We start from the raw sequence: 15,396 nt of genomic DNA on the forward strand, positions 1-15,396 counted from the left end.
GCACCTGAACTTCTTACTTATACTACACTTCTATTTTGAGACTCTTAGTGCTATTCACACTCAAGGCAATTCACTTTTACTTTTTTTTCATTTCCCTGTGGTTTCTTTATGGAAACAAATTAATAGAAAATTCAAGAGGACCATGTGTGGTGGCTCATGCCTGTAATCCTAGCGCTTTGAGAAGCCGAGGCAGGCAGATTGCTTGAGCTCAGGAGTTTGAGACCAGCCCGGGCAATATGGTGAAACCCTGTCTCTACTAAAAATACAAAAAATTAGCCAGGCATGGTGGCTCATGCCTTTAGTCCCAGCTACTTGGGAGGCTAAGGTGGGAGGATGGCTTAAGCCCAGGAGTTTGAAGCTATAGTGAGCCGTGATTGTGCCACTGCACTCCAGCCTGGGTGACAAAGCAAGACCCTGTCTCAAAAAAAAAAAAAAAAAAAGAAAAAGAAAGGAAGAAAATTCAAAAGACTTTACAGACATACTTTTAGAACTTATAAGATTTCAATAGGGTTGTTGAATACAAGCCCAACATGCAAAAAATCTTGTATATCACCAATAACCCATCAGGTAATGAAATAAAATAAAATACACCATTTACAAGAACATTAGGCATATAAATCTGACATAGGGTACGTAGACATTTATGGAGTAAAGTACAAAATATTATTGTAGTACACAAAAACATAAATATGGAACTATACCATGCTCATTCAATTTCATAAAGGTGTTGATTCTAAGTTAATCTACAAGTTAAATGGAAACATGATGGCAATAAAAATGCTGCCACACTTTTTCCTCTGAAACTAGACAGACTAAAATTCAAATGGAGGAGTAACAGTCTAAGAACAGTCAAAAACAATTCTGAAAAAGAACTAAGGGAGGAGCTTTGCCTATTAGATATCAAAACCTAACACAAAATTATATTAATTAAAGCATGAGGTGTTTGGCCCAGTGATACACGAACAGATCAATGGAAGAGAAATGAGAACTCGGAAATAGACGGAAGGATACACAGCAAATTGATATACATGTAGTACATTAGTTATCTCTTTCTGTGAGTGATAGAAAACTCAAAGTCGCAATGGCTTAAACAAGATAGATTTTTATTTCTCTCACAAGAAGTCCAGAGGAGGGTGGGGGAGTGGTGGCTATGCCTGTAATCCCAGCACTTTGGGAGGCCGAGGCGGGCAGATCACTTGAGCTCAGGAGTTTGAGACCAATCTGGGCAACATGGTGAAATTACAAAATTAGCTGGGTGTAATAGCATGCACCTGTGGTCTTAGCTACTTGGGAGGCTGAGGTGGGAGGATTGCTTGAGCCCAGGAGGCAGAGGTTGCAGTGAGCTGAGATTGCCCCACTGCACTCCAGCCTGGGTGACACAGGCAGACCCTGTTTTTTTTTTTAAAGGATTGATAAAGGATTCAGCCCAAGATCTGGAGGCAGGTAATTTAAGAAAGTAAAGCCAAGACCACAAACCCAGAGATATGAGTGAATTCGTGATTCATTTCTATTTGGTTTGTTTCCATTTCAAGCCATTTTTATATTTCTACAATGACTATTTTCTAAATATATTACATACAGATTTATGTAATTATATTATTTTTTTAAAAAAAAAAAAGAAAAAGAAAAAGAAAAAAGAAGTCCGGAGGAGTCAGGTGTGATGTCTTACACCTGTAATCCCAACGCTTTGGGATTTGGGAGGCTGAGGTACAATTGCTTCAGCTCAGTAGTTCAAGACCAGCCTGGGTAACACAGTGAGACCTTGTCTCTACTAAAAATAAAAAAAGTTATCCAGGTGTGGTGGCATGTAGTCCCTGTGGGGAGGCTGAGGTGGGAGGATCACTTGAGCCCAGGAGTTCGAGGCTGCAGCGAACTATGATCCAGGCATTACACTCCAGCCTGAGTGACAGAGCAAGACACTTCAAAAAGAAAAAACAAAACAAAAAAAAAGAATTCCAGAGGAGTCAGGGACTTAGACTTCTATTACTGGGCATGGCCTCTTTTTCTTTTTTTTTTTTTTTTGAGCTGGAGTTTCACTCTTGTTGCCCAGGCTGGAATGCAATGGTGCAATCTTGACTCACTCCAACCTCTACCTCCCAGTTCAAACGATTCTCCTGCCTCAGCCTCTCGAGTAGCTGGGATTACAGGTGCGTGCCACCACACCCAGCTAATTTTTGTATTTTTAGTAGAGACGGGGTTTCGCCATGTTGACCAGGCTGGTCTTGAACTCCTGACGTCATGTGATCCCCCTGCCTCGGTCTCCCAAAGTGCTGGGATTACAGGCATGAGCCACCGCGCCCGGCCATCATGGCCTCCTTTTCTAAAGTCAAACTACTGGTTCCAGATGGCTGCTCCAGCTCCAGCCACCATGTCTGTATTCCACTAGAAGGAAAGAGGGAAAGAAAGGGAAATGACATGCCTCCGCCCTTTGGGGACATTTCCCAAAGGATGCACACACTATTTTCACTAACAACTCCATGGCCACACCCAGCTGCAAGTACGACTGGGAAATGTAGTTAATTTTGGGTGCCCATGTTTCAAGCTAAAAATTCTTTTACTATTTTTAGAGCTGAGCCTGGCAGGGTGACCAGAAGTGAAAATGTGGCAAGTGTGTGTGAACAACGCAGGCTCAGGGTGAGTCTTGAAGTGGGGACTGCATGGCAAGGCAAGTCCAGCCAGGATGGATGAGATAATGTCAGAACTGAGTCTAACAAAGTATATTTTGCTTGTAGAATGTCATGTGAAATGTAAAGGAATCACCATTGTTAATATAAATTTTGGAGAAAAAAGTTATATTCCAAAAGGTTTTAGAGCCCACTTCTAAAGGTTTCTGCCGTTTACAATTAAAACGTCCCTAATCCTGTACCCTTGGATAATTAAAAAAAAAAGTTTAATATTTTATCAAGCAGGGAAAGGCAGCATTTTATATTTCAGTACTAGCAACAATAGAGAAAACAAATGAGAAAAAAATAGAGAAAACAAATGAGAGAAAAATCATAGATGTTTTTCTTTTCTTTTCTGTTTTTTTTTGTTTTTTGTTTTTTTTGAGATGGAGTTTCCCTTTGTTGTCTAGGCTGGAGTGCAGCGGCACGATCTCGACTCACTGCAACCTCCGCCTCCTGGGTTCAAGTGATTCTTGTGCCTCAGCCTTTGAGTAGCTGGGATTATAGGCACGAGCCACCATGCCCAGCTAATTTTTGTGTTTTTAGTAGAGATGGGGTTTCACCATGTTGGCCAGGCTAGTCTCGAACTCCTGACCTCAGGTGATCTGCCTCCCTTGGCCTCCCAAAATGCTGGGATTACAGGCGTGTGTGACTACACCCGGGTATAGATGTTTTTCAGTGTTGTTTTTGGTGAACCATGTTTTACGTGGAAAGTTTATCATAGTGTTTTGTTTTAGAGGAAAATAAAACTATATGTGGCTGATAAAGGATTCAGCCCAAGATCTGGAGGCAGGTAACTTAAGAATGTAAAGCCAAGACCACAAACCCAGAGATATGAGTGAATTCGTGATTCATTTCTATTTGGTTTGTTTCCATTTCAAGCCATTTTTATATTTCTACAATGTCTATTTCCTAACTATATTACATACAGATTTATGTAATTATATTATTTTTTATTCTTTTTCTTTATACAATTCTTTTTGAAGAAATCTGAATTGCTAGAAGTTCAGGCAAACACATTTTTGCATAAGGAGGTAAATATAATCTTATAACAGCCATTGAAGCTTGATTGATGATACCTTTGACTAAAATATGCCAGTGTAAGGGTGTGGCATACTTAAAAATATTTAAGAGTGGGTGGAGAAATTGCCCCTAAGCCAAGACAGCTTAACCTTGATAGAAATAATTGACCTCAAGGGTGTGTTCGTTGTATTTTGTGGGGGCAGACAGGATGTGAAAAATGAGCTTTTGTGTTCTGGATGAGCAGTGAAAGGGCAGTGGCTGAAGAGAGAGCTTTGAGGCAATGGTAGACTCTCCACGTAGCTGGCCAATCTTGCCCAAAGAGAGACTCCTGCAGGGGAAAGGTCCATGCCTGAAAGTCTGGCACTTAGTCAGGACTTCCTTCCTGCAAAGAGGTGGATTGATGGGGAAGAGGGCATTTGGCCCAGTCCAGGGCTGCTACAACTGCTTAATTGTGCACTTAGTGATCCAGTGCTTTCTACCTCTCATTCCAATCTTCCCTTCTTGGGTGTCGTTTGTCTTCTGAGTTTCAAAGCACGGCGCCTGGGTTCTGGGCAGGACAAAAGTGGAAGAGCCAAAGACTGGTTCCCTTGAGGTGTTGTCTCCATTCAGGAAGAGAATGCTTTCTCTTCAGTCTTCATTTTACATCTCCTTATCCAGGATTACCATACATGGACACGTCTAGCTGGATTGAGCCTAGAAATTTGCCTATTTTTGCTTTCCAGACTCTGGCAAAGGAATACACAGCACAGGAAAGGAATGGATAGCTTTTCAGTGGCCCATCTGCAGTGCTCCCTCGTAAGACAAGTTGGTAGTTACATAGAAAGTGTCTGAAAACCAAAAGTCCATTTAAATCCATGGCTTTGTTCTATTCTCTCTCTTTTTTACCCCAGTGATATTGAGGTGAAATTGACAAAATTTTATATATTTAAGGTATACAATGTGATATATGTGATGTTTGATATACATATACATTGTGGAATAATTACCACAGACAAGCTAATTATAATATCCATCACCTTACAGTTACCATTTGTGTGTGTGTGTGTGTGTGTGTGTGTGTGTGTGTGTATGTGGTGAGACATTTAAGATCCACTCTTTAAGCATATTTCAAGAATACAATATGGTATTATTGTATTAGTCTGTTTTCACGCTGCTGATAAAGACACACCAAGACTGGGTAATTTATACAGGAAAAAGTGTTCCGTGTGACTGGGGAGGTCTCACAATCACGGTGGAAGGCAAGGAGAAACAAGTCATGTCTTACATGGATGGCAGCAGGCAAAGAGAGAGCTTGTGTAGGGAAACTTCCCCCACTTTTTTTTTTTTGAAATGGAGTTTCGCTTTTGTCACCCAGGCTGGAGTGCAATGGTACAATCTGGGCTCACTACAACTTCCGCCTTCTGGGTTCAAGTGATTCTCCTGTCTCAGACTCCTGAGTAGCTGGGATTACAGGTGCACACCACCACACCTGGCTAATTTTTATATTTTTAGTAGAGATGGGGTTTCACCATGTTGGCCAGGCTGAGGTCAAACTCCTGACCTCAGGTGATCTGCCCACCTTAGCCTCCCAAAGTGCTGGGATTACAGGTCTGAGCCACCGCACCTGGCTGGAAATTCCGATTTTAAAAACCATTAGATCTCATGAGACTTATTCACTATCATGAGAACAGCATGGGAAAGATCCCCCCTGCCATGATTCAATTACCTCCTACCAGGACTCTCCCACAACATGTGGGAATTCAAGATGAGGTATGGTTTGGGACACAGCAAAACCATATCATTCCACCCCGGCCCCTCCCAAATCTCATTTCAAAACCAGTCATGCCTTCCCAACAGTCCCCTAAAGTCTTAACTCACTTCAGCATTAACTCAAAAGTCCGCAGTCCCAAGTCTCATATGAGATGAAGCAAGTCCCTTCTGCCTCTGAACCTGTAAAATCAAAAGCAGGTTAGTTGCTTCCTAGATACAATGGAGGTACAGGCATTGGGTAAATACAGCCATTCCAAATTGGAGAAATTGGCCAAAACAAAGGGGCTACACGTCCCATGCAAGTCCAAAATCTAGTGGGGCAGTCAAATCTTAAAAGTTCAGAATGATTTCCTTTGACTCCATGTCTCACATCCAGGTCATGCTGATGAAAGAGGTGGGTTCCCATGGTCTTGGGCAGTTCCGCTCCTGTGGCTTTGCAGGGTACAGCCTTCCTCTTGGCTGCTTTCACTGGATGATGTTGAGTGTCTGCAGCTTTTCCAGGCACACAGTGCAAGCTGTGGGTGGATCTACCATTCTGGGGTCTGGAGGACGTGGCCCTCTTCTCACAGCTCCACTAGGCAGTGACCCAGTAGGGAATCTGTGTGGGGGCTCCCATCCCCCATTTCCCTTCAGAGGTTCTTGCCCTAGCAGAGGTTCTCCATGAGGACACTACCCCTACAGCAAACTTCTGCCTGGGCATCCAGGCATTTTTATACATCTTCTGAAATCTTTCCCAAGCCTTAATTCTTGACTTCTGTGCACCTGCAGGCTGAACACCACATGGAAGCTGCCAAGGCTGAGGCTTGCACCCTCTGAAACCACGGCCCGAGCTCTACATTGGCCCCTTTTAGCCACTGCTAGAGTGGCTGGGACACAGGGCACCAAGTCCCTAGGCTGCACACAGCACAGGGACCCTGGGCCCAGCCCATGAAATCACTTTTTCCTCCTAAGCTTCCAGGCCTGTGATGGGAGGGGCTGCTGCAAAGTTCTCTGACATGCCCTGGAGACATTTTCCCCATTGTCTTGGTGATTAACATTCAGCTCCTCATTACTTATGCAAATTTCTGCAGCTGGTTTGAATTTCTCCTCAGAAAATGGGATTTGCTTTTCTATTGCATTGTCAGGCTGCACATTTTCCAAACTTCTATGCTCTGTATCGCTTTTGAAACTGAAAGCCTTTAACAGCACCCAAGTCACCTCTTGAATGCTTTGCTGCTTAGAAATTTCTTCCACCAGATACCCTAAATCATCTCTCTCTAGTTCAAATTTCCAGAAATCTCTAGGGCAGGGACAAAATGCCACCAGTCTCTTTGCCAAAACATAACGAGAATCACCTTTGCTCCAGTTCCCAACAAGCTCCTCATCTCAGTCTGAGACCACCTCAGCCTGGATTTCATTGTGCATATCACTATCAATATTTTGGTCAAAGCCATTCAACAAGTCTCTAGGAAGTTCCAAACGTTCCCACATTTTCCTGTCTTCTTCTGAGCCCTCCAAACTGTTCTGACCTCTGCCTGTTACCCATTTCCAAAGTCACTTCAACATTTTTGGGTACCTTTTCAGCAGTGCCCACTCTACTGGTACCAATTTACTGTATTAGTCCGTTTTCACACTGCTGATAAAGACATACCCGAGACTGGGCAATTTACAAAAGAAAGAGGTTTAATGGACTTACAGTTCCATGTGGTTGGGGAAGCCTCATAATCATGGTGGAAGGCAAGGAGGAGCAAGTCACATCTTACATGGATGGCAGCAGGCAAAGAGAGAGAGCTTGTGCAGTGGAACTCCCATTTTTAAAACCACCAGATCTCATGAGATTTATTCACTATCATTAGAACAGCATGGGAAAGACCTGCTCCCATGATTCAATTACCTCCCACTAGGTTCCTCCCATGACACTTGGAAACTGTGGGAGTTACAATTCAAGATGAGATTTGGGTGGGGACACAGCCAAACCATATCACTATTTATCTGTTGATGGGCATTTAGATTGATATCATAGCTTGGCTATTGTGAACAATGGTGCAATGAACATGGGAGTATGGATCTCTCTTTGATACTAATTTCAGTTGTTTTTGATATATATTGAGAAATGTGATTGCTGGATCATACAGTAGTTCTATTTTTAATTTTTTGAGGAGCCTCTGTATTGTTTTCTCTTTTCTTTTGTCGTTCTTTCTTTTTTTTTTTTTTTTGAGACAGGGTCTTGCTCTGTCACCCAGGCTGGAGTGCAGTGATGCAGTCTTGGCTCATTGCAAGCTTGGCTTCTCAGGCTCAGATGATCCTCCCACTTCAATCTCCCAAGTAGCTGGGACTACAGCTGAGTGCCACCACTCCTGGCTAATTTTTGTATTTTTTTGGGGAGATGAGGTTTTGCCATGTTGTTCAGGCTGGTCTCAAAGTCCTGGGCTCAAGCGATTCACCTGCCTCAGCCTCCCAAAGTGCTGGGATTATGGGTGTGAGCCACTGCACCTGGCCAACTTTTGTCTTTTTTTGATGATATCCATTTTAACAGGTATAAGGTGATATCTCTTTGGTATTGATTTGCATTTCCCTGATGATTAGTGGTATTGAACATTTTTTCATGTACCTGTTGGCCATTTTATATGTCTTCTTTTGAGAAATGTTTACTCAATTCCTCCCCCTTCCCCTCTTTTTTAGAGACAGGATCTTACTCTGTCACCTGGGCTGGAGTGCAGTGGTACAATCATAGCTCACGGTAACCTCAAACTCCTGGGCTCAAGTGATCCTCTTGCCTCAGCCTCCTGAGTAGCTGGGACCACGCTACCATGTCTGGCTAGTCTTTTTAGTTTTATTTTTGGTACAGACAAAAGTCCTACTATTTTGCCTATGTGGTCTCAAATTCTTGCTTTGCCCATTTTTTTTTCTTTTTTTTTTTTTGAGGTGGAATCTCAAAAGGATGGAGTGTAGTGGCATGATCTTGGCTCACTGCAACCTCCACCTCCCAGGTTCAAGTGATTTTCCTGCCTCAGCCTCCCGAGTAGCTGGGACTACAGGCACAGCTAATTTTTGCATTTTTTAGTGGAGACGGGGTTTCACTGTGTTGGCCAGGATGGTCTTGATCTCTTGCCCTCATGATCCACCCGCCTCAGCCTCCCAAAGTGCTGGGATTATAGGCATGAGCCACTGTGCCTAGCCTGCTTTGTCCATTTCTTTATTGGGTTGTTTTCTTGTTATTGAGTAGTTTGAGTTCCTTATATATTCTGGATATAAGCCCCTTACTAACTAGATATATGGTTTGCAAATATTTTCTCCTATTCAATAGGTTGTCTGTTTACTCTGATGATTTTTTTTTCCAGAAGCTTTTTAGTTTGATGCAATCCCAGTTGTCTATTTTTGCTTTTGTTGCCTGTGCTTTTGGTGTTATATGCAAAAAAACATTGTCTAGATCAATGTTTGTGGATTTTGTATCATACAACATCAATGAATTTATTAGTTCTAACTTTTTTTTTGTATGGAATCCTTAGGGTTTAAAAAAATTAAACAATTTTTAAAAAATTTTATTTCAATAGTTTTTGGGGTACAGGCGGTTTTTGGTCACATGAATAAGTTCTTTAGTGGTGATAATTCTGAGATTTTGTCATACAAGCAGTGCACACACTGTATCCAATATGTAGTCTTTTATCCCTTACCCTCTGTTGTCCATCCCCTCAAGTCCCCAAAGTCCATTATATCATTCTTATCCCTTTGCATCCTCATAGCTTAGCTTTCACTTATAGGTGAAAACATACAGTATTTGGTTTTCCATTCCTGAGTTACATCAGGTTTCTGAAAATATATAAGATCATGTCATCTTTGCAAACAGAGACAATTTTACTATTTCCTTTCTGATTTGGATGTCTTTGTATTTCTTTTTCTTTGCTAATTGCTCTGGCTAGGACTTGTAGTACTATATGGAGTGAAGGTGATGAGAGTATGCATTCTTGTCTTATTCCTGATCTTAAAGGATAAGCTTTCAGCTTTTGACCATTTTGCATGATATTAGCTGTGGGCTTTTCTCTCTCTGTGCTATGCTGTGCTGAGTAGGCTTGGGAAAGGGGTAACTTGAGTAATGTGAAACTGTCTTTCCTACCTTCTTCAATGTGTCTTTTATTGTTTCTGTGCTCCAACTAGGTGCTGTAATCTCTCACCTGGAGTCCTCAGCACTGGTGAAGGTACTCTTGTGTGTGGATGGCTGTTCAAATTGATGTGTCTCTGAGGGGATGAGCCCTGGAAACTCCTATTCCAGCATCTTGTTGATGTCCTCTCTATTTTTCCTTGAAATTTATTTGTTGAAGGAATTGGATTATTTGTTTGATAGTGTTTTGCACAGTCTGAATTTTGCTAATACATCTGTGTGATGTTTAATACGTTCCTTCACATTTCCTTGCAAATTGGCATTTAAATCTAGAAATTTAATCAGATTCAGTTTAGAATTTTTGGCAAGACCACTTCTTAGGTGGTGCTTTGTTCTACTGGGCGGCATATAGTATCTGAATATCTCCCTTTGTGATATTAGCAGCCATTTATGATCACTGCTGAGTCTATACAATCCAATGTGGTAGCTATTAGCCACATGTGGCTACTTAAAAATATAAATTAAATTAAATTAAATTAAAAATTCAATTTCTCAGTTATATCAGTCCTCTCTCTTTCTTTCTTTTTTTGAGACAGAGTCTTTCTGTGTTGCCCAGGCTGGAATGTAGTGGCACAATCTCAGCTCACTGCAAACTCCGCCTCCCGGGTTCAAGTGATTCTTCTGCCTCAGCCTCCTGAGTAGCTGGGATTACAGGTGCCTGCTGCCATGCCCAGCTAATTTTTGTATTTTTAGTAGAGATGTGGTTTCACCATGTTGGCCAGGCTGGTGTTGAACTCCTGACCTCAAGTGATCCACCCGCCTGGGTCTCCCAAAGTGTTGGGATTATAGATGTGAGCCACTGCACCTGGCCTATCAGTCACATTTCAAATGCTAAATAAATTCATGTTGGTTATAGCTACTGTATAAGATACAGAACATTTCCATCATCACAGAAAGTTCTATTGGACAGCATTGGTCTAGATCTATTAATTCACAAAGAGTAGTGATATGGTGCTATTCTAACATTAATTTTACATTTATTAGTTGGAAAACTATAGAGAGAAATCCCTCATATCTACTATTTGGTTACCCAGTGATCAGTTCACGTAGGAAAGGCAGGATAAAGGTTAATTCTTTACCTTTAATGAGTTCATATTGCAGCATCCTCCAAAAGTGAATAACTAAAAAAAACCATGCATGATTTTAGACATTGGATACTCCTTCCTCCCTTCAGTCTTTCTTTCCTTCCTCTTTCTTTCTCTTTCTCCTCTCTCTCCTTCCTTCCTTCTTTCACATGCATGCTCTCTCTCTTCCCTTCTTCCTTTCCCCCTCCCCTTCCCTACCCTCCCCTCCCCTCTCCTTCCCTCTCCTCCCCTTCTTTCCTTCCTTCCTTGATAGGCTAATTGTCCTTCATGGAAACATTGTCTTGATGAACAGAACACAGCTTTTGGCAAATTTTGCTAACTGTCTGTGGTAGATTGAATTATTTGTCCCAATTTTCTCCCATCCATATCCTTTCCCACATAATTAAGTTTGCAGTTCCTCTAACCAAAAGGTGGAGTATTCTACCCATCCTTGACTTGGTCCTTGACCATGAAACTTGCTCTGGGCAACAGGATCTTCACAGATGTCAAGTAAACAGGGACCTAAAATGTGCTTGAGCAGTGGGGCTTGTTCTCTTGTGCTTCTACCATGACCGCAAGAAGGACGTGCTTTTCCCAGACTACTGTTCCAAGGAAAAGGAGAAACACAAAGTGGGAACTGCCTCAGCTGGCCTGCAAACTTGGGATCTGAAGCAAAAGTTTATTGTTGGTGTGATTTTGAGGTTGTTTCTTTGCTTATTAATAGATTAATAAGTTTACAAATTGTCCCATTAGGTGAGAAACTCCCAACTGGCATTGGCAGATGTCATCTCAGATTAATGTATCTTCCCCAGATAGTACTTTGCTGTTCAAAATATAGTAATTAAAATCATGCACTAGAAGAACACTAGAAACTTTGTAAGAACTCAAATTAATTGTGATTTCTTTTTGTCTGGTAGATTTTTTTTGGAAAACATACCTTTGCTTTTACTATTTATGATAATATATTAGTATTTTAATTTCTAATTGGCTGTTGTGCAATAAAAAATACACATATTGGTCTCTGCCCCCCAGTCCCTGGCACAGAGTTCTTAAAACTCTTGTAGTTTCCTGAGCAATAGGAGTGCTAGGAGAATCTTTCATTCTAATGTTTGGTTTCTGCTCTGGTTCTTGAAACAGAGTTCTTAATACTCTGTTAGATAGGGGTGCTAGGAGAATCTTTTGTTCTAATATTTGGTCTCTGCTCTGGTTCCTGACACAGAGCTCCAAAGACATTTGTAATTTCCTAAGTGTTAGCATCTGACACAGAGCTCCTAAATCCCTTGGAATTTTCTGTGCGATGAGAGAGTCTTTTGTACTAATGAGGTAACTCTTGGTAGGCTGCTGGATAGAGGCTGGTCACCAGAAAGACCAAGCTATGATTAGAAGCCTGGAACTTCTAGTGCACCCTCATCCTCTGGAGAGGGGAGAAGGGCTGGAAATGGCATTAATAATTATTTCTACTTGATGAAGCTTCCATAAAAATTCCTGGATTATAGGGTTCTGAGAGTTTTTCTTTGTTTTTTTTTTTTTTTTTTTTTTTTTTGAGACAGGGTCTCCTTCTGTCACTCAGGCTGGAGTGCAGCGGTGTAATCAAGCTCACTGCAGCCTCAATCTCCCAGACTCAAGTGATCTTCCTACCTCAGCTTCCTAAGTAGCTGGGACTACAGCCACGCACCACCACATCTGGCTAATTTTTTTGATTTTTAGTAGAGACAAGGTTTTGCTATGTTGCCCAGGCTGGTCTCGAACTCCTGAGCTCAAGCAGTACTCCTGCCTTGGCCTCCCAAAGTGCTGGGATTACAGGCATGAGCCACCAAGCCCAGCTGCTTCTGTTAATTAATTAATTAGTTTATAAATTATTCCATTGGGCGACATCTTTCAACTTCCAAACTAGAATTGGCAGAGGTCATTTATTATACCCTTTATTAATAAACTGGGAAACATAGTTTCCCTGAGTTCTGTGAGCTGCTCTAGCAAATTAACCAAACCCAAGGATGGGATTGTGGGAACCCCAATTTATAGCTGTTGGATCAGAAGCACAGGTCACAACCTGAGTTTGTGATTGGCATCTAAGGTTGGGGGCAGTCTTATGGGAAGGAACCCTCAACCTAGGGGATCTGCTGCTATTTCCAGGTAGTTTGTGTTGGGATTGAATTGACTTAGAGGATGCTCAGCTGAGTCTGCTGTAGAATCTGCCAGAGAATTGATTGCTTGGTCAGCATGGGAGAAGCTCTTCTATGCATTTTGGTGGCCAGTGTGTTATATTGAGTGTATAAAAGTGGGAAAACCACTTTGGTTCAGTTTTTCTTATATCCTTACACTACTTTATAGTCTTAATATGCTTATGACATATTTCTTGATCCAAGAAAACTGTAGACACATTTTTTTTTTTTACTTTATAAGGCTCTTAGTGTCTCAGTCAATGCTTTAATTCTTCATCCCTCTTTGACTTTGTAAGTTTTTGTCATCTGTGCTCTTTTCAAGTATTAACACCATTTACATTGTTTTGTAAACATTGTGTATTTCACATATTTCATCAAATCTAAGATACACCACTTACTTTAATACCAAGAAAGAAAATTTATTGTCAATTATTATTATGATACCATTGATTATAAGATCAGAAATGTTACAAATGTGAAAAACATATATTTTAGAAATGGTGAAACAGTGTAATTAAATCTTCTTTGTCAATTCTTTTATTCTGTTATAAATCAGTAAACCATACTTACATCAACACAACTAATTATTTTTCACTGCAAAGCCAACTAATGAATCATGATATATTCTTTTTTATTCAGTGTTTGCTTTTCCCTTGAATTTCTAAATTCCCTTCCTTTTTACTGCACTATTTTACTTTATCATAGTCTCAGTTTTCTTGTATTTCATTATGTACATCTATTCGATTAAGATCCCTTTTATTTCCCTTAAGAGCTTACTCCTGGAATTTTTCCTATTAGAAGTTCTCTCTTCATTTTTTTCTGGGGTTATATATACATTTCCCTTTTTCTTGGCTTATTTCACTTCGTTGCTAAATATGTCTTCCTAAAGTAACTTCCTAAAATGAATTTGTGAAAGGCGAAGTTTCTGAGCCATTCCATTTCTGAAAATGTTTTTATTCCTTTTGTTTGTTTTATTATGCAGGTGATAAACATTTTTTTTGTTTGTTTTTTTGAGACGGAGTTTCGCTCTTGTTGTCCAGGCTGGAGTGCAGTGGTGTGATCTCGGCTCACCGCAACCTCCGCCTCCCAGGTTCAAGAGATTCTCCTGCCTCAGCCTCCTGAGTAGCTGGGATTACAGGCATGTGCCACCACGCCTTGCTAATTTTGTATTTTTAGTAGATACGGGGTTTCTCCATGTTGGTCAGGCTGGTCTCAAACTCCTGACCTCAGGTGATCTGCCCGCCTCGGCCTCCCAAGTGCTGGGATTACAGGCGTGAGCCACCGTGCCCGGCTGCAGCTGATGAACATTTTATTTAAAAAAGGTTTGTAAAACATGAGGAAATGCTTATGATGGAATAATTAAATGGGAAAAGTAGGACACAAAGCACAAAGTTGTATTATATTTATAACATAATTACTCTTTAAAAAAGATACCAGCAAATTATGTGGAGAAAGAAAGAGAGGAAGGAAACACAACAAAATGAAATAATGCTTGTCTCTGGGTAGTGGTAAGACTGTAGCAGATTTTTTTTTCTCATCATCTTTCTACATTTTGTGTACTGAGCAGCTACTCTACCTGACCTCTCACCCCTTCTCCAGGGGAATAGATAGGGTCACCTTCATGTTTCTGCCGTGTTCCTCCCCTCTTCCCTTTCAGCCACCCACCTGCTCTCTGCTTTCCTGCTCTTCTCCCCGGCCACCAGAACCCACAGGCAATTAACACTTTCTGGACAAAGAAGGAGCCAAGGTTTTCCCCATCATTTTTCTAAAGGCAAAAGTGCATGGCTAGGGAGGGAGACTAGAAAGGCAACTAACTGCTCCCTGCCAGTCCTGGTCTCACCCCTTCCAATGTCCATCTGATTGGGGCCTGGACTCAGGTGGCCCCAGGAAAGCCTCCAGCTGGTGTTATGGACAGAGCAGACTATAAAGGGGAGGTGGGGTACCCCATACACCTGTATTTTTTACTTTCTGAAGCTTGGTTTAGAGTGCTAGGCAGTTGGGAACACTTGTCCATACTGTTACTAATGTGCCAGTTCACTTTGTGGGTTCAGGGCCACAGTCAGGCCTGTAGCTCCTTTAGTTCTCAGAGGCTCTCTTCCTTCAGTTTTTCTGAATTGTGGGCCAAATGTACATGAAGCTCTGGACAAAGGACACCAGCTTCTCCTGCAGGTTACTCATGACATGGAAGTTGGAGGTGGTAAGATGGACATGGGTTCCACTTCTCAATCAGTTTTTCTTTATTCTTACCCACATTTAGCTTTTCTCCCCTGGCTGACTCATAGTTATGTTATGCTGCACACCACACACAGGGGCAATGGTTTGCACAAACTGCCCTACCAGCTCCCATGATTGCTTAGGGTCTGTCTCACTCATAGTGGTTCTGCCTTTCTCATTGAATTACTCTGTTCTTGCATTGCTATAAAGTAACACCTGAGACTGGGTAACTTATAAAGAAAAGAAGTTTAATTGGCTCACAGTTCCACAGGCTATATAGGAAGCATGTCAGCATCTGCTTCTAGGGAGGCCTCAGGGAGCTTTTACTCATGGTCTCAACTTTAACATTGCCAAAGTATGGCAGAAGGGGCTGATGTATGGGC

The 15,396-nt window shown here is 41.5% G+C and overlaps 1 protein-coding gene across 2 annotated transcripts in view; it reads left to right on the forward strand.

Moving 5' to 3' along the window:
* The first annotated feature begins 2,584 nt into the window (after positions 1-2,584).
* The window catches only part of CD109 (CD109 molecule), a 149,122-nt gene continuing 136,310 nt past the window's right edge, over positions 2,585-15,396 (forward strand). Inside the window, exon 1 of one of the 2 annotated variants that reach the window (XM_047418211.1) lies at positions 2,585-2,634. In XM_047418211.1, the coding sequence (XP_047274167.1) occupies positions 2,600-2,634 (35 nt within the window). In that variant the 5' untranslated portion in view covers positions 2,585-2,599. The remainder of the gene's footprint in view (positions 2,635-15,396) is intronic. The other variant, XM_047418212.1, reaches the window with a different exon arrangement.

This window comes from Homo sapiens, chromosome 6 (assembly GCF_000001405.40).
Source record: "Homo sapiens chromosome 6, GRCh38.p14 Primary Assembly".
In the NCBI taxonomy this organism is placed as follows: domain Eukaryota; kingdom Metazoa; phylum Chordata; class Mammalia; order Primates; family Hominidae; genus Homo; species Homo sapiens.